Source organism: Homo sapiens, chromosome 11 (assembly GCF_000001405.40).
Source record: "Homo sapiens chromosome 11, GRCh38.p14 Primary Assembly".
In the NCBI taxonomy this organism is placed as follows: Eukaryota; Metazoa; Chordata; class Mammalia; order Primates; family Hominidae; genus Homo; species Homo sapiens.
Window position 1 is genome coordinate 126,200,513 of NC_000011.10, and position 20,189 is coordinate 126,220,701.

The 20,189-nt window shown below is 43.4% G+C and overlaps 2 protein-coding genes and 1 pseudogene across 9 annotated transcripts in view, besides 1 other annotated feature; 1 reads left to right on the plus strand and 2 right to left on the minus strand.

The window, feature by feature from the left end:
• Positions 1-1,583: 1,583 nt before the first annotated feature.
• Positions 1,584-11,138, minus strand: RPUSD4 (RNA pseudouridine synthase D4). Of its 4 annotated transcripts, none has more exons than NM_001144827.2 (7): positions 10,938-11,138; positions 10,378-10,543; positions 9,009-9,210; positions 5,196-5,269; positions 4,956-5,027; positions 3,719-3,816; positions 1,584-3,145 (listed from the first exon to the last, which is right to left on the minus strand). In NM_001144827.2, exons 1-7 carry the CDS (start codon positions 11,124-11,126, stop codon positions 2,906-2,908), a joined length of 1,041 nt encoding a protein of 346 aa, NP_001138299.1. In that variant the 5' UTR covers positions 11,127-11,138; the 3' UTR covers positions 1,584-2,905. The 4 variants fall into 4 exon arrangements, with proteins under 4 accessions (NP_001138299.1, NP_001350445.1, NP_116184.2 ...); NM_001363516.2 differs by having other exon boundaries at positions 1,584-3,142; positions 4,956-5,100; positions 5,176-5,269; NM_032795.3 differs by having other exon boundaries at positions 4,956-5,100; positions 5,176-5,269.
• Positions 10,923-11,152: an enhancer, noted in NCBI's record as "active region_5703". NCBI's record gives its function as "activates an Ori minimal core promoter by ATAC-STARR-seq in GM12878 lymphoblastoid cells {active_cell/tissue: GM12878}" and the evidence as "EXISTENCE:reporter gene assay evidence [ECO:0000049][PMID:35858748]".
• FAM118B (family with sequence similarity 118 member B) overlaps positions 11,212-20,189 on the plus strand; it is a 51,264-nt gene continuing 42,286 nt past the window's right edge. For 4 of the 5 annotated variants that reach the window (NM_001330446.2, NM_001439324.1, NM_001439325.1 and 1 more), the window contains exon 1: positions 11,270-11,318. The gene's annotated coding sequence lies outside the window, so the exon portion shown is untranslated. Of the gene's footprint in view, positions 11,319-20,189 lie in introns of all 5 variants that reach the window. The other variant, XM_011542978.4, reaches the window with a different exon arrangement.
• Positions 13,748-13,966, minus strand: RNU4-86P (RNA, U4 small nuclear 86, pseudogene; annotated as a pseudogene).

Genomic DNA, 20,189 nt, shown 5'->3' on the forward strand with positions numbered 1-20,189 from the left:
GTAGCTGGGACTACAGGGGTGCCATCATGCCTGGCTAATTTTTGTACTTTTTTGTAGAGACAGAGTTTCGGCAAGTTGCCTAGGCTGATCTCAGAACTCCTGGGCTCAAGCGATCCTCCCGCCTTGGCCTCCCAAAGTGCTGGGATTACAGGCATGAGCCACCATGCCCAGTCTACCACGCTTCTTAAACCAGGTCCCTCTCAAGCCCAGATGGTAACTAATTACAAGCAGATGACATGACCTAATATTTGATATTTCTTATGGTGTGCTTAAATGTTCTATTAATTTTTAAAAGGCCATTCCATATTTACAAATAAAAGTTATTTAAAACGCAAACACATTTTTAAAAAATCATACTTTTATGGCTAACGAATCAACATACAAGAGCATTTCAGCTTACTCTGCCTAGCTATAATCACATTCCCTGCACCCTTAAAAGCTGCAGATCAACTAGGTTATATGAGGTTGTTGTCCTGGTCCTTAAGCACCCCCATGAGTCAGTCGACACTAAAGAAGACAGTCCTTTTGCGGGGCACAGAGCCGCTGACCTCGGCTTGAGAAGGGTCTGGGAAGGTGCAGCAGGGCAGACATCTGCCCCAGTCTCCAATGTGGTGACCCCATATCCCAGGGAAGCTTAGGAATTCTCAAAAAGTCAACTGTCACTAGCTTGGTAGCTCCCAGTTCAGCAACCAACACAAAACCCAGCACTGAAGTGCTAAAGAATCACGAAGAACAGTAGGGCAGCATTTGTGACAAAGCCGGGCAGACAGAACGACACAGCTGGTTCTCAGTCTAGCTCCAACGTGCCCGCCTGGGGAACAACAGTCCCGCCTCACACTTACTTGTCAGTAAACCACACAGCTAACTGAATTTTCCCAGCTAAAGAGAGCTCCCTGAGATGAGTGAATATCCCCAGATACCTTCAGCCTAGTAAATATTCAGTTTGCCAAATTAAAGACTAGATTTACATCTTGGAGGAGACCATATTTATATATGAGAATATAAATCATCTGTTACTTCTCCAAAATGTATCCTGACTAGCTCCTACTTTTCTACATTTTCCAGTTCTTTTATTTCCATCATCTGTTCCTCTAAGATTGTTCTCCTTTTTGTGAGACAGGGTCTCACTCTGTCACGAGGCTGGAGTGCAGTGGCACAATCATGGCTCACTACAGTCTCAACCTCCTGGGCTCAGGTGATCCTCCTAGCTCAGCCTCCTGAGTAGCTGGGACCACAGGTGTGCGTGTGCCAACACACCCAGCTAATTTTTGTATTTTTTGTAGCAACAGGGTTTCACCACGTTGCCCAGGCTGGTCTCGAATTCCTGGGCTGAGGTGATCCGCCCGCCTCGGCCTTTTCGGCCTCTCAGAGTGCTGGGATTATAGGTGTGAGCCACCGCGCCCAGCCTCTTCTCCATTCTTGTGGGTATTCCTGTTCATCTGTTTCCCTGAATTAATGTCAATTATCACTATTTCCTAAGTGTCACATTCTTGTTCCTTTTTCTTGACTAGCATGGTTTACTAGAAACAGAAATAACAGCAAAAATATTTAGGTCTTATATAAACAAATATAGTCATCTCGTCTGTGCTTTCAAAGTTAAATTTATTATGCACAGTAATGGGTACCATGGAGACAGGGAAAGGGCTAGAAAGTGGCATCATCTATACAGAGGGAACATATAAAGACTGTCCCGGGGTGTACCCCCCTAACTGTGCTGTCACTCCAACTCTGTCAGAAAGAAAAAGTAGTGTGAGGTGTATTTGTTTGCAAGAAACAAGGTGGAAACTAGATGGACCAGCTGAGCAGGGAGGCCAAGGTCATTTCCATCTATCCCTAATGGTGTTCAGTATAGCCCTCTCCTTCCTGAGACCTAAGAACAGAAGATACGCTTCCACAACAGAGATTTTTGATTTTTTAATGGCAGCACTCTCATAACTACATTCACGGACCAACCAAAGCCATCTCCAAGCCTAGAAAGGATACATACTACACGCAGCGAAAATGCCAACCACTGATCCAGAATTTTCAAGATGGCACCTTTCCCCAAACTTCTATACCATTCATTAAACATAGACTGCAAACTGCTAGCCTGTAGACCAAATTCAACCTCTAAGTATTATTTGCTTAGGTGCCTAAGCATCTTTAAAAATTTGATTTAGTTGGCAATACACTGGGAGGTTTCACATAAATATCTAGGTTTCCAGCTTCTCTGAAGAAATGAGAAAATCCATTCCCACATGGCAACAACCAGCTGGAGCTAACAGCTGTTAGACAGCATGCCGCTCCCCGCTACTGCCTTACACCCAGCCAGCTTCATGTGTGCATGTTATCTGCCTGCCATTCACATCGGTTCTCCTTGCTCAGCAAATGTCCCACCTCAACCTCACACTCAATACCCTTATACAGGTTCCCTAATCAGAGTTCAGTAGGGCACCCACACTATAGCTGGGCAATCCCTGGATGCTGTGATATTTGTTAACCATTATGTTCTTTCCAACCACGGGAACCTTCCTAAGAGCTCAAGAGCTTCACTGCTGGATAAAAACAGTTCCTGATCCCGGATTCTGACCTTTAGTTTTCCTTTTCCAGTCACTGCCCCAGTCTGCCTGGCCCTGGGCTCTGTTCCATATTGGCAATGAGAGCCCACGGCAGGGAGACTTCCAGCAGGCTTTTCCACAGTGCAGCCAAACTATCAGTAAATAGACTTTGTTCTCCATTAAAAGCCCTGTAGCAGCTGAGTTGCTTTACCTTATCCCACCTGGCTCTTACGCAGTCTGTTCCAAGTGAGAAGTTAGCAGAGTCCTGTAAACAAAGAACAGTTCAGGGGCCAACCTGCGCTCCCAGGTGCCAGGATGCTCTCAGGGTCTTCACTGTGCTCCCAGGTGCCAGGGTGCTCCCATGGTCTTCACTGTGCTCCCAGACACTTGGCTTCATTGTTCTCATTTTGATCCTCATTTGGCATCTCTAAACGCAGGCGGTGCAGGGAATGCACAAAGAAGCGAGGAAGTTTGCAGACCAAGTTGAGTTCCTCCTTCCCGGACCCCAGGGCAGGCAGGATCAGCTGCCGGGCGTGCAGGTGAAGGGGGATGTAGCGGGCCTTCGACTGTTCTAGCCCCAGCTTCTTCAGGGTGCCCACAGACAGCTTCTATACAAAGAAAGGACAGACCCTTGAGAGCAAGGCCAACAGTCCACCCTTGACGAACATGCAAGGTCAGGGCACTTCTACTTACAGGGAACCAAAACTAACCCCCTGGAAGACACAGTAATGGAGAGTCTGCTTCAGTGGCATGTCTAAGAACGGCTCAGAACTCAGGTAAGGGAAAAATGACCACACCAAGACATTCTTTTTGGCCAGTGCTTTTTGGCCTAACAAGAGAATGGGCTGTGGTATAAGGATGAAAAGGCTTTCCCTGCGGTTTTTTAGTAGCACCATGAAAAGCTGCTCCCAGCCTTCAGAAACACCCCTCCCCTTGTCCACAGCCTCCCAACAAAATCTGAATAAACAAATGTAACAGTAAGCTTTTCACTAACAGATCCTGCAGTTCCACAAGGACAGTAACCAACTGCTCCTAAATTTCTCTAAAATCAAGATAATGAGCTTGGTATCATGTCTGAAGACAATCAGTAGGCTTTGTTGTAACTCATTTCAGAGTTTTAAGAAAAGGAACGCCTAAGTTCTCTCCCGTATCTGCTGCACATTGGGTCAAATTAGTATTACCTGGGGGGCCAACCTATTCCAGTCTGAGTACTTGTGATCACCAAGGATTGGACAATCCAATCCAAAAGACAAGTGAACTCGAAGCTGATGTTTTATTCCTTAAAAGAGAGAGAGAGAGAAAGAGAGAAAACTCGTGAGGAGCTACAGAAACAATACCAGTATTGGCATCTGCTTCAAATCGTGTTACATCAAAGTGCAGTAAACTGGCCAAGTCCCAACTATAATAAAGTATAACGAATAATATAGCAAACTATAAGTTATGTAGCACCAGCCAGTTTAGGAAGTAAACGCCGTAAATACTCTAAGTACCTCTCCCCACCACAATTCCCTCTTTCCACCATAGATAACCATTATCATGAACTTGCCGTCTACCATTACCCCAACTTTTTAGTAATTTTACTACATAAGTAGTATTGATTTGCACATTATTTGAATTGTAGTAACATATACATAAAATTTCCTGGTTTAACCACTGGCATTATACTAAATGCCAAGTCAGTGACATTAGGTGTATTCACACTGTTTTTGCAACCACCACCACCATCCATCTCTAGAACTTTCTCAGCTTCCCAAACTGAAACTCTGGACCCATTAAACAACAATTCCCTATTTATCTCCCCTCCTTTACCCTACCCTAAGATTTTGGCAACCACCATCTACTTTCTGTCTCTATACATCTGACTCTTCTAGGTACCTCACATGAGTGGAATCATATAATATTTGCCCTTTTGTGCCTGGCTTATTTTACTTAGCATAATGTTTTCAAGGTGCATCCATATTGTAGCATGTGTCAGAATTTCCCTTCCTTTAATTCTTTTAAAGCTGAAAATAACATTCTATTTTATGTGTATGCTACATTTTGTTTCTCCATTCATCCCCCAATGGTCACTGGGATTATCTTCACATTTTGTTGCTGTGAATAACGCTGCTATGAATATGTGTGCAAATATTTGATTTTTGGGGTATATACCCAGAAGTGGAACTGCTGGATCTTACAATAATTCTGTTTAATCGTTTTGAGGAACCACTCTACACAGTTTTAAATAGAGGCATTCAACCTGTTTGTATTCTTCTGCTAGCCACAACCATCTCTCTGGGAGTCCCCGGCCTCAGATCAGCACCAGAAGCACATTCTCACACAAGTCAGCCACACTACTAGCTGCTCAGAACGAGGCCCTGGACAAAACCTGGTGGCACAGGGTTTTGTGATCCCACTGCGGAAAAGTGACACTCTCACCAGTGATGGGCTGGAGCTCCACGAGGGCGGAGGAGAGAGTGCTGCTGAGCACCTGGTACTGAGTTACAGCAACTTGCGCATTCCGGCTGCGCCGCACTTTCACCATTTTCCCATCGTCCATGCGGTAGCTCGGGGACAATGTCATCTGAAGCCAAAGAAATCAAGATATGATTCCCAAGGAAGAGCAGCAACCCATGCCTCAGGGAGGCTGCTCGCTCACCTTGTGGTGTTGCTGCTGGCCTTGCGCCTCCTTCTCCACAATGGGGATGTCCACGACTCCTGCTGAGGGCATGGGGACATGCACAGTGATGGCCCTGGGGGTGACACAGATCACTGCTTTAGCCAACCAAGCCAGAGAAGAACTCCTAGATTTGGCCACTTAGAGGATTTCACGCTGGACCTTCTGCACTAACATGTGATTTCTTATGATTGAAGGATCGTGCAAGATTCTCTTGGTGTAATGCTTAGCCTGAGAGCTGATAGATTTCACAAGCTTATCTTTTTTACTACTAAAGTCATACATGCTAATTGTAGAATATTTGGGGTAAAAAAAGAAAAAAATTACATTAATAACATGGTCTTTCCAGTCTTTAAAAATGGATATGTACAGTTAAAATAAAATTATGGTAATATAGTTTTGTATTTTTTTTCAAATAATAAAAGATTGTAGATTCTGACTGCATGGTAAATGAACAAATGAATAATTGGATGAATGAACCTAATAAAACATTCAGAGAACCGTTCCTGGCTCATTTGCCACATAGGTAAAACAGGAGGGAACTGTACCCGAAGAAGTCACAGGGGACAGGCGTGGTGGCTCACACATGTAATCCCAATACTTTGGGAGGCCAAGGCGGGTGGATCACTTCAGGTCAGGAGTTCAAGACCAGCCTGGCCAACATGGTGAAACCCCATCTCTACTAAAAATACAAAAAAAAAATCAGCCAGGCGTGGTGGCGCGTGCCTGTAATTCCAGCTACTTGGGAGGCTGAGGCATGAGAATCGCTTGAATCCAGGAGGTGGAGGTTGCAGTGGGCCAAGATTATGCCACTGCACTCCAGCCTGGGAGACACAGCAAGACTCCGTCTAAAAAAAGAAAGAAAGAAGTCATAGGTACCACAACCACAACTCAATAACTCATTCCAAATCACTTCTGTTGGTGTTCTCCCTCCCATGACCTCATGACCTCACAGACAGGTAGAAGACTGTTTAATCTGTCTGTAAATTTATGCCTCTTTCAGGTCAATGATGGAAAAGTCCATCTGGGTACCTGGTGGTCGGTTGTATAATCACTAACCACGGGGTCAAAATCCTACTCACACACACTATTTCACAACGCAGACACTCCACTTCAGTTTCAGCTACTATCTGGTACATTTTATCGTATTTTACAGATTTTGTAGATCTTCTGTGACAAGAATGTCCTTCCTAATGATATGACACTACAACTCAAGAATGTTCCATCAGCAAGACCCAACTGATTGATTTCAATTCCTCCATGAACCTGATACCGAGAATGGTTACCAATTTTGAACCTTAATGGACATTTTTCACAAATAACATAACATGTATTTTATAGTCTTAATATTTTGATTGCTTGAATAGAAAAATAAGTCTCTATTTTTTATTTTTTAACTTTTCCTATGAACTAGGTACTGTGTTAAACATTTCACAAGAATCAATCTTATTTAACTATCTCATAAATCCTACTGTTTCCATTTTTCAGATGAAGAAAACAAAGCTTATGGACATTTAATAACCTGCCCAAGGCCCCACAGCTGTTAAATGACACAGTTGAGAGTTGAACACACATCTTTTTGAGGTCTTAGCTACTGTCCTAAATTCCTCCATTCTCCATAATCTTATCATAGTTCTTAAATTTGATTGTATATCAAATTTTAAAATACAGATGCCAATCCCCACAACCACCACACTTACGAATGAGAACTTCTGTGGGTAAGTCTCAATCATACATATTTTTAAAGGGCTCCTCAGATTCACAAAGTATCTGCAAAATCTGTAATCTAAAAAGGACTAACATTCAAAATATAAAATGAATACTTACAAATCAAATAGAAAAGAATAAACAACCTGGGCCAGACACAGTGGCTCACGCCTGTGAGCTGTAAGCGCTGTAATCCTAGCACTTTGATGGACAGATCACTTTAGGTCAGGGGTTCAAGACCAGCCTGGCCAACAGGCTGAAACCCCATCTCTACTAAAAATACAAAAATTAGCTGGGCATGGTGGCATGTGCCTGTAATTCCAGCTAGCTGAAACATGAGAACCACTTGAACCAGGGAGGAGGTTGCAGTGAGCCAAGATTGTGCCACTGCCCTCCAGCCTGGGTGACACAGCAAGACTCCATCTCAAAAAAAAAAGGCCAGGCACGGTCTTAAATAAAAAAAAATAATAATAATAAACAACCCTGTAGAAAAATAGGCAAAAGAAATAATCAGTCTGTTCCCAAAAGGGAAACTCAAATAGCCAATAAACATGTAAAAAACATGTAAATTGATAGCCAATATCACTGTTATACAAGGAAATAGAAAATATCTTTTTTTTTTTTAACTTATCACAGTGGCAAACCCTTTAAAAATGCTTTGGCTGATAAGGGGAGGTGGGTACTCACCACTGCTGGTGGGAATGTAAACTGATAAAAAACCTTTGTGGAGAGCAATGTGAGTACTATTAAAATTTAAATATACAAACCATTCAGCCCAGCGATTCAATTTTTAGAAATTTATCTTAAAAATACATTCACATATTCTTTGCAATAGGCTCTAAAAAATGAGAAATTACCTAAATATCCATCCATACAGCGGTATTTCACAGAGCAATTAAAAAGGAGACAGCTCTAAACGTATGACACAAAATGCTCTAAGATATATGATCCAAGTGAAAACTGTAGGGTACAAAACTCTGTGTGAAATACACTAGCATACAGTAATATGCTTATATATGCTCGATAACTCTGGAAGTTTACAGAAGACACCAGTCACAGCGATTGACGCTGGGGAAGGCAACTGCACAGATGGGGAATAGAGGGTTTCTTTTTTGCTCACGCATCTTTTTTCTATGAAAAACACTGAGGTAAACCTCTATGTGCTAACACAGGATGATCCCCAAGACATAGAGGTGAGCAGAGGAAAAAAGTATAATGTAAATTGTACAATGTGATATATATATAGATATATATGTGTACATACATATGTACACATGCATATACTGCATACACCAGACACGCATATACTGCGTACACCAGACACGCATATTCTGCGTATGCCGGACACGCGTATACTGCGTACGCCGCACACGCGTATACTGTATACACTAGACATATATGTAAATGCGTTGAGTAAGAACCAGAGGAAAAAAAACCAAACTGATTACATGGGTTGTTACCTCAAGAGAAAACACTAGAATGGCAGAATGGGTGGATTCTCCAGGAGTTTTTCACATGATCTTTGTTGTTTGACTATTTTTAGCATGGGAATAAAATCATATATTACTTGTATAATTAATTAATTTTTTTTTCTTTAGAGACAGGATCTCACTCTGTCACCCAGGCTGGAGTGCAGTGGTGTGATCATAGCTCACTGTAACCTCAAACTCCTGGGCTCAAGTGATCCTCCCACCCTGGCCTCCCAAGTAGCTGGGACTACAGGTATGTGCCACTATACCGGACTAACTTCTTACTTTTTATAGAGAAAAGGTGTCACTATGTTGCCCAGGCTGTTCTCCGACTCTTGGCCTAAAGTGATCCTCCCACCTCTGCCTCTCAAAGTGCTGTGATTACAGGCGTGAGCCACCATGTCCACCCCATGCTTGTATAATTAATTTTTGATAATTTTGATGTATACCAGAATTAAGAACCACTGTTCTATCAGACTTAATATTCTAAGCACCAAAGCTGTTTCACATATTTTTTACAATCTCGCAGGTCATAGTGCAGTGCCTTCTATTAATGGGAGTTTCTGTTTTTAATGAATAAATAGGTGAAAGAAATGCCTCCACTTATACCACCTCTACTGCCATCAGCAGGCCTCATACCAGTACTTCTTCACCACCTGACGGGTTCTAAACAACTCTTGGACTTGATGTGCCATGTCCTTGTCCCAAGCCAACACCATTACACCTGTGGTTTCCTTGTCCAGCCGGTGGCACAGATGCAAGGGCTCTGCCTTGTGGCCATGAAGCATCTTTGCCAGGATAGGTAGTACATCAGTGATGCAGAGCTGGACCCCAGGGCCACCTAAGAAGGAAAAAGCCAAAGGTTTGAGCGGCCAGGAAAAGATCTCGCCAAAGAACTCTCCTTGGGAGAAAAGCCCTTAATGGATAAACTGTCAATATTTTCTAGAGCCTTACTACTGAAGTGTGGTCCAGAGACTAGCAACAATGGCATGTCTAGGGAGCTTATTAGAAGTGAATCTCAGGCTCTCAACCTAGACTACTCAGTCAGAATCTGCATTTTACAAGCTGCCCAAGTGATTCAGAAGCATATTAAAGTTTGAGAAACACCATTCTAGAGCATGTGGCTTCCTCTCAGACATACTTTGAAAAACCATGAGGCCTTCGAGAAGCATTAAATAAGAGTGATTAGGAGGATAGACTTCGGGGTTAGACATTCCTGGGGTTCTACTCTACTCTTCTTACTAGCCATTTTTTTGACCTTGGACACATTACTTCTCTTTCCAACTTTGCTTTCTCGTTATAAAATGTAAATATCTGGAAAACAACTTCATTGGGGAATGGAAAGGCAAAAAACTGTTGCGAAAATAAAGAGAGAAAAAAATTATACAAACACTTGGTGATGTGATTTAATTCCTTGTCTTTGTGAACAACTATCTCCGTATCTCCCCAAAAAGCATTACCTTCTTCTAGCTAAAATGGGCCTTTTCCCTCTTTCACAAATGCATTTTTTAAATCAATCTTTCCTGATTCACTTCAGCTGTCCCTGACAACTACATGCAACATCTGTTGAAAGACATTTGAAGGTCCACTAAATTCCAGTCACTCTGGGGTTGTATGTTACATATACTCCAACATACATACACACACACACACACACACACACACACACCCCCTTTTTTCTTATGTATCATTTTCTCATTCCCAGTTCTGATGGAAGATAACCTTTAGTCTAGAACCACACAGCCTTTGTATATCTCTACAGCGATCCCTGTAGTCTGCACACAGCGTATTCTACGAATTGCTTACTGTCAGATGTTTAGAAAGGGAGGACTGTCTTATTTATTTATTTCTGTGTTCTCGGTGGTTCCTTATATTGGACGGTAGTTTACAAAAGTTTAATTAATTTGAATGCAAGGCTTTAGAGTGCACCACAAGTAACGTCTCAGTTTTCCTCGGTTGTAGCAGAAAGCAGCTGCAGGTTCCTCCACCTTTCCCGCGTGGTCCTTACCATGCACAGGGAGACCGTAGGGCTTATTGATGACCACAAGGTTCTTGTCCTGGTGGAGAATTCCTCGGGTCAGTGCCTTAGCAAGCACGTTGGGGTGGACTCGCTGCAGCTGCCGTGTGAACCGCACTATTTCTTGCACTCTCCGCTGAACAGCGTTTGTGGACACCTAGGGAGAAAGAAGGAGCCGTGGGGAATGCCTGGTGCGGAAGCCGTGGAGAAGACCTTCCATAAAGGTCTGGGTGAGAATCTGAGTAGGGAATGACTATCTTTGCATCAGACCCGCGCCGCCTTCGACTAATTTGAGAGCAGAGATACCCATCTGTCTAACCTGCGTACCGACGCAGTGGTTAGGACTGAGCCTGACAGTAGCCAAAGATCCAGCTCACGGGAAAACACCGTACCCTTACTGACCCCTCCCCTCCGCCTTCTCCCCATTCTCCCACCTTGCGTCCGGGCTATTGACTCACACGCTTTCACTCAGAGGACCCTCCTACCTACTCCCCGTCTGGGAAACCAATGAGCGCACTGCCTCTAGGGAGTTCTGGTCCCTTTGGACTCACCGGCTCCTTCTTTGTGTCTTGTTCCCGTTTCTGGGCTCGGAGCTTCTCCGCTAATCTCTGGGCATTTATGGCCGTAGAGGCAGCGGCAGCGGCACAAAATGGCTTTGAGACGAGAGTGAAGAGACTCCCGCAACCTTGGCCGTTTCCCCGGATCCAGGGGCCCGACGCGCTCCACCTGGGCGCCGCCATCTTACAAGGAAGGGCGGGGCGAGCCAAGACCACGTGGAGAAGGGCGACTACAATGAGGCGGGAGTGGGTGGGCCCTGCAGGTCACGTGGTGCGGGGTGGGGCCTGGGCGAGTCACGTGGGGACGGTGCGCGCTCAGTGCGGCTGCGCCGGCCGGTAGCTGCAGCTGGAGCAGTGGCGTTTGGAGGAGACTCGGTGAGTGTGTAGGGAAGCCGGGCTGGGGCTGGGAAATGCCGGTGCCTCAACGGTTTAACGTTTTCTGCGTCCCCGGGATTTCCGTTCAAGAAGAGCACTGGTCTGAGAAACGTTTCTCCTTTTGGTACACGATCCCACTCAAAAACTCCTCCCCGCCCCCGCGCCCCCTTAGGAGCGATGTCCCATAAACGCTCGCCCCAGAGCCCTCCTAGGCACCGACGCCGTCCCTCTTAGCCACTGAATCTCCGGTGATCCGCCAGTCCCCTGCGGGACGCGTCGGGGACCCTCTTGATCGGATGCCCGGATCTCTGTAGTCTCTCCACCCTTCATCTTCCAACTCCCAGCCTCTTTGTTTCGCGTTGTAACCTGTACCCTTCTCCTAAGGATGACGGCCCCTTCCCTTATCCAGGGCCCCCAGCACCTATTTCCTACTTAGGAAGCACTGTGAGTGTTTTTTCTGCCCTTCCTCAAGAATTCATTTCTTGGGGGTCTCCTCCCTACCTTCCCTACTCCTCCTAAAGAAAAAGCTGAAAGAACGGAGCACAGACCTTCACTTTTCCTGTTTCCTTTATTTTTCCTCTCCATAGTTTGCAACCACACCATACCTCCTCTCACGAGATGCGATGTTGGGATTCCCTTGCCCGAACTGCAGGCGACTCCCTCTGATTTCACTCAGGGGTGGCTGGGAAGATAAACATCTGTTTGGGATGGTAGTGTTAAAAATAACTTGGGATATACCTGCCATTTGTTAAGAGGAAAGCTTATGCTGAGTTCAGAAAGAATGTCCTGAAAACTAATGGATCTGTGACGATAGAAGGAACAATTTTTTAAGACTGCTTGGAATGAAGGCTGCCTGAGGAGTTATTAGAGAATAGGTAGTTGAATTAGATTTGGGTTCTACACCTCCTAAAGGGTTTGGCAGAAGGGAGCCGTACCAACAAGAAACAAAGTTGATCAGGTGGAGCTACTCATAGAAGACTCAAGTTGAAGAGTTTGAACTAGAGGTGATACGTAGTGAGGAGTCTTTGAAGCTTTTCGAGTAGGGCAGAGAGACTCCTTGAAAGTGGAATTCTGGAAATGAATCTGGCAGTTGAATGCAGGACAGATGGGGAAGGAAAGGGTTTGATAGTGGGGAAGGAAAGGGTTTGATAGTAGGAAAACTAGTTACAATCTAGGTGGTCAGTGATGAGGTCTGGTCTTTTCCCCCTACACTGTAACTCCTTTGAGTTTGAATTAATTGAGTTATGCAGGTCAAGGCGTACTCTTGGCAGCTGCTGTTGATCTGTGAGTCCCTGGAAGAATTTTTTTTTTTAATCCACTCACCTGGCACATAGTAAACTCGATATCTGTTAGATGGCTGAAGTGCATCATAAATGTATGCTAGGTGTGTCTGAACATTTTGAATTGTCTTATTTCTGTCAATGTTTGGCCTGAAGAATGAAGGTAGAGGAAGATGTATTTGTAAAGTGGGAAAGAAGCAAGGCTTGTGTACGTTTCTCTTATAAGGCAGGTGTAAATGCAGATCCAGATACAAATGCAAAGATTTCCAAGGGAGATTGGGAAACATCTGTTTCTCCTGTTCCCCACCCACCCCCTGCAAATTTACCAGTAAGACAGAGGTCTATAAAAGTTGAGAAATTCCACCCTAAAAGAATTATTACCTTCCATGCTCCAGACCTAGGTTCTAATTTCACTTGAACATCACATATTACTTAGATACTTGAAGCTCAATTTTCCAAGGACCCTGAAGTTTTGACATCGGGACTTAAATTCATATCATTACATTAATTAAAAACTTGTTTTGGGTACAGGACTTTTATGGTTTTGTGTCGGGGATGGGAGAGGCTGTTTCTACCCTAACCTTATGGCATTCAAGAAACTACACCTGTTCTTGCAGAGTTGGCCTTCTGTGGCGGGAAACAAAATGAAGAACCAACTCAAATGTCATTGCTAGTGACACAGAGCTTATGCTCTAGGGTTTCAGGTTAACTCAAAGCACACACTTAGTGACTTAAGAATAAAAATATTGGTCCCTTTTTTCTGGAGAAGGAACTTTTAGGTTTGTCTTGTTGAAACTTTGTAGAGAAATTTAAAGAATTCAAAGTTTTTGTTTGGTATGACAGTGCAGCTTTAGCCAGTATGGGTACATAAGTTATGACATCCTTAATGTTTCTCCGGTGAGTCTAGGCACTTGGTGATTTAAAGTAGAGTTGTTCTCAGTATAAAGAATTTATGTGGCCGGGCGCGGTGGCCCACGCCTGTAATCCCAGCACTTTGGGAGGCTGAGGCGGGCAGATCACGAGGTCAGGAGATCGAGACCATCCTGGCTAACATGGTGAAACCCCCGTCTCTACTAAAAATACAAAAAAAAAATTAGCCAGGCGCGGTGGCAGGCGCCTGTAATCCCAGCTACTCGGGAGGCTGAGGCGGGAGAATGGCGTGAACCCGGGAGGCGGAGCTTGCAGTGAGCCGAGATCGCATCACTGCACTCCAGTCTGGGCAACACAGCAAGACTCCATCTCAAAAAAAAAAAAAAGAATTTATGCAAATGTCATGTCTTTTTTTTTTTTTTTTTTCCAATTTTCAAAGAGCAATAATCACCCCTCAGATAAACCTCATTGGCTGCAATACTGCCACTGCAAAAAACTCTTTTGTTTCTGTTTTTTTTTTTTGTTTTTTTTTTGTTTTTTTTTTTTTACCTCTATATTGCCTCCTCCCTGTTCCTCATTCAGCTGGTCCTTTTTTAGGCAGTTCACTTTTCCACTTCTGCGCCAATGTCACAGTCCATTTGTTGGGAACTCCTCTTGTCTAAATGTTTTCTTAGAACAAGGAAGGAAATTCTATTAGTGATTTCTTCATTCTTGCAGACTACGGCTCTGTTCAAACATGACTTATTTACATTGATTTTGATATATCATAATATGTGCCCCTAAAGTAACCATATAAAGAAGAACTTGATAGTTTCTTTTTAAAGATATTTCCTAGTCTATTCAGGAACAAAAAGGCTGCATTAGTATTTCGCAAATATAAACAAACAAGGACTAACTAATAAAGGAACTTGCGTTTATCACAAATTTAAGGTTAATTAGTGGTATAAAGTTAAGTTACGCCTCCTCAAACTGTGATTTGCTAGTTGCAGATTAACCAGCGATTCCATTTCCTTGAAGAGCAGGAAGTACTTGGACATTGTTTTATGGTTTTAGAGAGATTAAAGGAGGCAATTAGCAGGAACTCTTGGGAGGTGCCCTGGAAAGTACAGTCATTGGGAGCCAGGAGATGTGGGACTAGTTCCAGTTCAGCCGCTGCGTACTTGAACAAATAATTTGGGCTTCAGTTTTTTGTCATTTGAAAGATTTTTGCAACTCTGTTTCTAGTCTATGAAGATTTTCCACTGATACTGAAATACTTCTCTTTCAGCCCGAATTAGTGGGATTTATTTCAGATTTATCTTGAATACATTTAGCATTGATACTAAGAAACTGGATTCTGCTCTTGTCCCCAGAATTTAACTTTTTGCCACTGAGCTAATGTTTATGTTTGGAGGTTACTTCATTGAGTGGTGTTGGAATATACTTTTAAGATTTCTGGCCAGGCGCGGTGGCTTACGCCTGTAACCCTAGCACTTTGGGAGGCCGAGGTGGGCGGATCACGAGATCAGGAGATGGAGAGCATCCTGGCTAACACGGTGAAACCCTGTCTCTACTAAAAATACAAAAATTAGCTGGGCGTGGTGGCAGGCACCTGTAGTCCCAGCTACTCGGGAGGCTGAGGCAGGAGAGTGGCGTGAACCCAGGAGGCAGAGCTTGCAGTGAGCCAAGATCGCGCCACTGCATTCCAGCCTGGGTGAAAGTATGAGACTCCGTCTCAAAAAAAAAAAAAAAAAAAATGTCCTAAATGGGGGTGGGGTGCATGGCTCACACCTTAATCCCAGCACTTTGGGAGGCCTAGCGGGGAGGATCTTTTGAGCCTAGGAGTTTGAGATCGCCTGGGCAACATAGCAAGACCTCGTCTCTACAGAAAATCACAAAATTAGCTGGGCATGGTGACGCACCTATGGTCCTAACTAACCCTTGAGGCTGAGGTGGGAGGATCATTTGAGCCCGGGAATTCAAGGCTGCAGCTGCAGTGAACCATGATTGCAGTACTGCACTCCAGCCTGGGTGACAGAGACAGACCCATCTCAAAAAAGAAAAAGTAATTTGTGTAATACAGTTTAAAAGTCAAATAGTAATAAAAGATTTGGAATTAAAAAACAGTTTCTCAGGCCAGGTCCAGTGGCTCATACCTGTAATCCCAGCACTTTGGGAGGCTGAGGCAGGTGGATTGCCTGAGGTCAGGAGTTCAAGACCAGCCTGGCCAACATGGTGAAACCCAATCTCTACTAAAAATACTAAAATTAGCTGAGCATGGTGGTGTGTGCCTGTAATCCCAGCTACTTGGGAGGCTGAGGTAGGAGAATCGCTGGAACTGGAGAGATGGAGGTTGCGGTGAGTCGAGGTCGCACCATTGCACTCCAGCCTAGGTGACAGAGCGAGACTCTGTCACCAAAAAAAAACCCAACAAAACAAAAACCGTTTCTCTGCCCTCCCTACCTCAAAGTCCCATTCTTTAGAGGCAACCACTCAGTTGTTTTCCTCTTTTCCTCTGTCTTTACAGTAAGTGGTCAACACCATCAGTATTCTTGAAACATGATATAACAAAACCAGTTTTACCATATGGTTTCTATGGCGTTTTTCTGGTCACAAAAACATACCCAATTTCTAAATAAAGACCCAAACATTTCTAATATGAAACACTGAAACAAGTAAGATTTTCACCCACTTTTTGGTGAGTCAGTGAGTTACTGCAGTCATAGTGGTGGTGGGTTAAATCAAGGAATAAATGTGTGCAAAGTGAAAATTGTCAGAAGCATTTCCTACCACCATACTCATTTCCAAAGCAATCAATCACCAATAGGGCAGGCTCACTGAGAGCTATTGTACCACATCATTTATTGTTGTGCATTTGGATGATTACCATAGACTTTGCAGATTTTTATTTGCTGGTAATTTGTATTCATTCATTTATTTTCCAGCTTAGGCTCACAGGTGGCTGGAGCCTATGCTGGCAGCTCAGGGCACAAGGCAGGCGCCAGCCCTGGACAGGACGCTGTCTATGCCATAGGGTGTGCATGCACACACACACAAACACAGGGACCATCTAGACACACCAGCTAACCTAGCAGGCACATCTTTGAGACGTGGGAGGAAAGCAGAATACCTGGAGAAAACCCACACAGACATGGGGAGCATGCCAACTCCACACAAACGGGTAGCCTCAGCCAGGAATCACTTATTCTCTCATCAATGTTATGAAAAAACGATGTTGAACAAAAAGACTTTTTTTGAGAGTCTGCTGTATCTTCTTGTTGCTAAATAGTTGGTTTGTTATTCTTTCTTGGTTTTCCCCTCATGTTTGGCCTGTTGATTTCTTGTTGTGATAGATTTGTATTTAGCTCTTGCATCCCACCACTTTCCTATTTTTCCATGCCCTCTATCCCCTAATATAGTTCTATTGTAATTTTTTGCTAAAACAGGTAGCTTTTATGTACTTACACCTCTGTCAAATACTGTTCACTGTTGAGCTGGATGATCTATTACAGTGTGTTCCTCCTGGTGTGTAGGTTGGCCTTCACCTGTGTTTTTCATGTACCTACTGTTAATTTTTTTCCCACATGCTCCAATGTATTTGTCACATTCTTATCAGTAACATTTTCTGTGAGCTCAAATGTATCACCTGTTTATTGGAGCCCTGCCCCCTCCTCCTGCCTTTACTGTTGCTCTCAAGAACTGCTGCCTGGGGTCCTCCTGGACCTGCCCTTTCCTGTGCAGGAACCGTATCTTCCTCTTTCTGGGCTTATGTCTTTATTTTTTAAAAGCATATACTTCAGTTATTTCTAAGAAGTATTTGAATGACCTGGTTTTGCCCACACACTTGTTTGATAGTTTGGCAGTTATATAATTCTAGATTGGAAATAAGGTTCTCTCAGAATGTTGAAGGCATCTGTAATTGCTCTAGAGATGTGGTGATTTAAATCCTTCTTACGTGACCGTATTTTGTTTGTTTTCTCCCCTTCTGGAAGCTTTGAGGATATTCTCTATCTCTGGTGTTCTGCAGTTTTATGATGTGTATTAACACCAGGGTATGGGTCTTTTACTCAGCTGTTGTGCTGGCTTCTCACAGACGGTTTTGATTCTGGAAATTCACGTCCTCTAGTTCCGGGATGTTTTCTTGTACTATTTCTGTGATTTTTTGCTCAATCTTTAATTTTTCTTTGATACCTTTTTGTAATATCCATTCTTGTTATGTGGATATGGTGGGCTCAGAGGGCCCGCTGGAGTATTTGAGTTTTCTTCCTCTCTGCACAGGCTCCACTTCCTTCAGGTGATGTGGGCCTTTGCACCTGTGCCTCTGTCTGGATGTGTCTTCCCTCAGATATCCAGCGACTTGCTCCCACACCTCACTTTGGATGAATCCACAAGTCTTTCCTTAAATGTCACCTCAGTGAAGAGAGCACTGGATTGAGAAGTGCAGACCCCCATCTCACTTCCCTGCTTTGTTTCTCTCCAGAAGCATTTCCCACCATCTAGCATCCCACATATTTATTTACTTGTTTCCCTCACCACTAAAATAAACATTCTATGAGGGCAGGGATTTTGGGTTTTTTTTTGTTTACCTCTATAATTCCAGCCTCTGAAACAGTGCCTGGCGATGAATAGATGCTTAATAACTTAAGGAATAAATGAATTATTTTATTGTGGGATTTCTTTGAATGTCTCATGATTCTGACTGTTCATTTCTGTTTTGTTTTTTGTTATTTTAAGTTCCCAGCGTGGGTCTTGTTGGGTGGTGGCCATTACTATAGGGTGGCTGGTATATATGGATTTTGTGTGTATGTTTGTACAAATGTATATGTTTGCTAATATTTCTTTAGCTGACAGTGCATTGGTTGCTGGGACAAGGATGGAGGCTTGGAGAACCTTTTAGTATGCATCTTTTGACATAATCTGTATTTTCAGTTCTTCATTGCTCCTGCTGATGTATTTTACTCCAGACCCATTTCAGATTTCGGTTCATTTTTCTTTAAACCTCTGGATTTGGGGGTGGAGAAAATAGATGAAAATAGGAGGTGAGGAAGAGAATTTGCGCATTAGTTAAATAGACTTTATGCCAATCCGTATTTTCAGATCTGCATTTAAAGCTTGCTTTCCATCTCCAAAAATTCATTGAAAAATTGAATGCTTATCTCCTGCACCTCACATTCTTGGTTTTATACCTTGAAAAAAGAAAAACTCCTCTGTTGCCATTTTAATAGCGTACTTTGAAAAAGATTAAGAAGTAAACACGTAAGGACAGAAGTTATCATGTTTTATATTCTTAGTGTCATGGAATGCAGCACAGGAATATCACATAAGGAAAAGCACAGATTTCTTGTTTTCCTCGTTTATTTTGGAAGCTTATCCTTCAGCTCTTGTTTATCTTTTTTTTTTTTTTTTTTTTTTTTTTTTTTTTTTTTTTTTGAGAGTCTCTCTCTGTTGCCCAGACTGGAGTGGGCATGATCATGACTCACTGCAGCCTCGACCTCCTGGGTTCAAGCAATCCTCCCACCTCAGCCTCCCAAGTAGCTGGGACCATAGGCATATGCCACCACATCTGGCTAAGTTTTTTATTTTTGTAGAGACAGGGTCTCCCTATTGTTTATATGCCTTAAGAGTCAAATTAACAGAGTACATAAGAAACACTCTCTTTTTAGCTCTCTTGCTAAGGAGCAGGTTTGAGATCTGTTGCCAGAACTTAGTACTTCGCAGTTTTATGGATTCCTCAGGAGTCTCGTCCATGGGGCTGGGGCGTGGCTACCCTCTGCTGACTCTTCCTAGGTTCCTGCTCTTCCCCAGCACCTCCCTACCCCCAGCCACTAGAAATAGACTGCTTCTTTCTTTCTTCTACTGCAGAAAACATGCACTACTGTACTTATTAAAATTAACTTAAAAAAAAAAAAAAAGCAGCTCGAGCTGCTTGAGTTTTTTTTTTAAGTTAATTTTAATAAGACATTGAAGGAAGAATTTTTTTTAAAGGGGGGGCTTATATGTATGGAGATTTATGGTGTGAAAGCAGGGGCAAACTCTAATGAATGAAGTTTTTAGAATTGATATGAACATGAACCCAAGATACTCAGACTTATTCCGAGAGTTCCTCTTAAAAACTGCTTTTCTCCACATAAATCCGAATGTCAGCAGTGGTTAGCTCCACGTTGGAGGAAGGGGGGCTTCATTTTGCTCTTTCTGCATATTTCCTGCAGTGATCTGTTACTTTCAAATCTGGGGGAAAGGTGCTCTCTTTTTCTGAATGAAGTCTCCACCTGCCTCCCTTGGGCCCAGGCTGCCCAGCTTTCTGGCTGCTCCCTGAGAGTCCTCCTTGGTCTTCCACTGACCTCCTTCACTTCCTTATGAAAGTATGTTTTTAGTCTCCCTAACCTGCTTTCTGTTTTCTCTCTCTCTCTTTTTTTTTTAATACCCTCAATTGTTTTCACTGGCCACTTTTTTTTTAAGACTGATGCTTGGCTGGGCTTGGTGGCCCATGCCTGTAATCCCAACACTTTGGGAGGCCAGGGCAAGAGGATTGCTTGACAAGGCCAGGAGTTCAAGATCAGCCTGGTCAACATAGCAAGAGCCCATCTCTACAACAAAATTTAAAAATTAGCCAGGTGTGGTGGTGCGCACCTGTAGTCCCAGCTGCTTAGGAGGCTGAGATAGGAGGATCCCTTGAGCCCCAGAGTTTGATGCTGCAGTGAACCATGATCTTGCCGTCCTGGGGAACAGAGCAAGACTGTCT

Excerpts from the sequence above, each read along its gene's own strand:
- RPUSD4 (NM_032795.3), bottom strand. The coding sequence starts at position 11,126 with ATGGCGGCGCCCAGGTGGAGCGCGTCGGGCCCCTGGATCCGGGGAAAC. Across the intron at positions 9,211-10,377 it reads CTACGGTCTCCCTGTGCATG|GTGGCCCTGGGGTCCAGCTC; the intron begins GTAAGGACCACG and ends TTTCCTTCTTAG. Across the intron at positions 5,101-5,175 it reads GCCAGCAGCAACACCACAAG|ATGACATTGTCCCCGAGCTA; the intron begins GTGAGCGAGCAG and ends CTTTGGCTTCAG.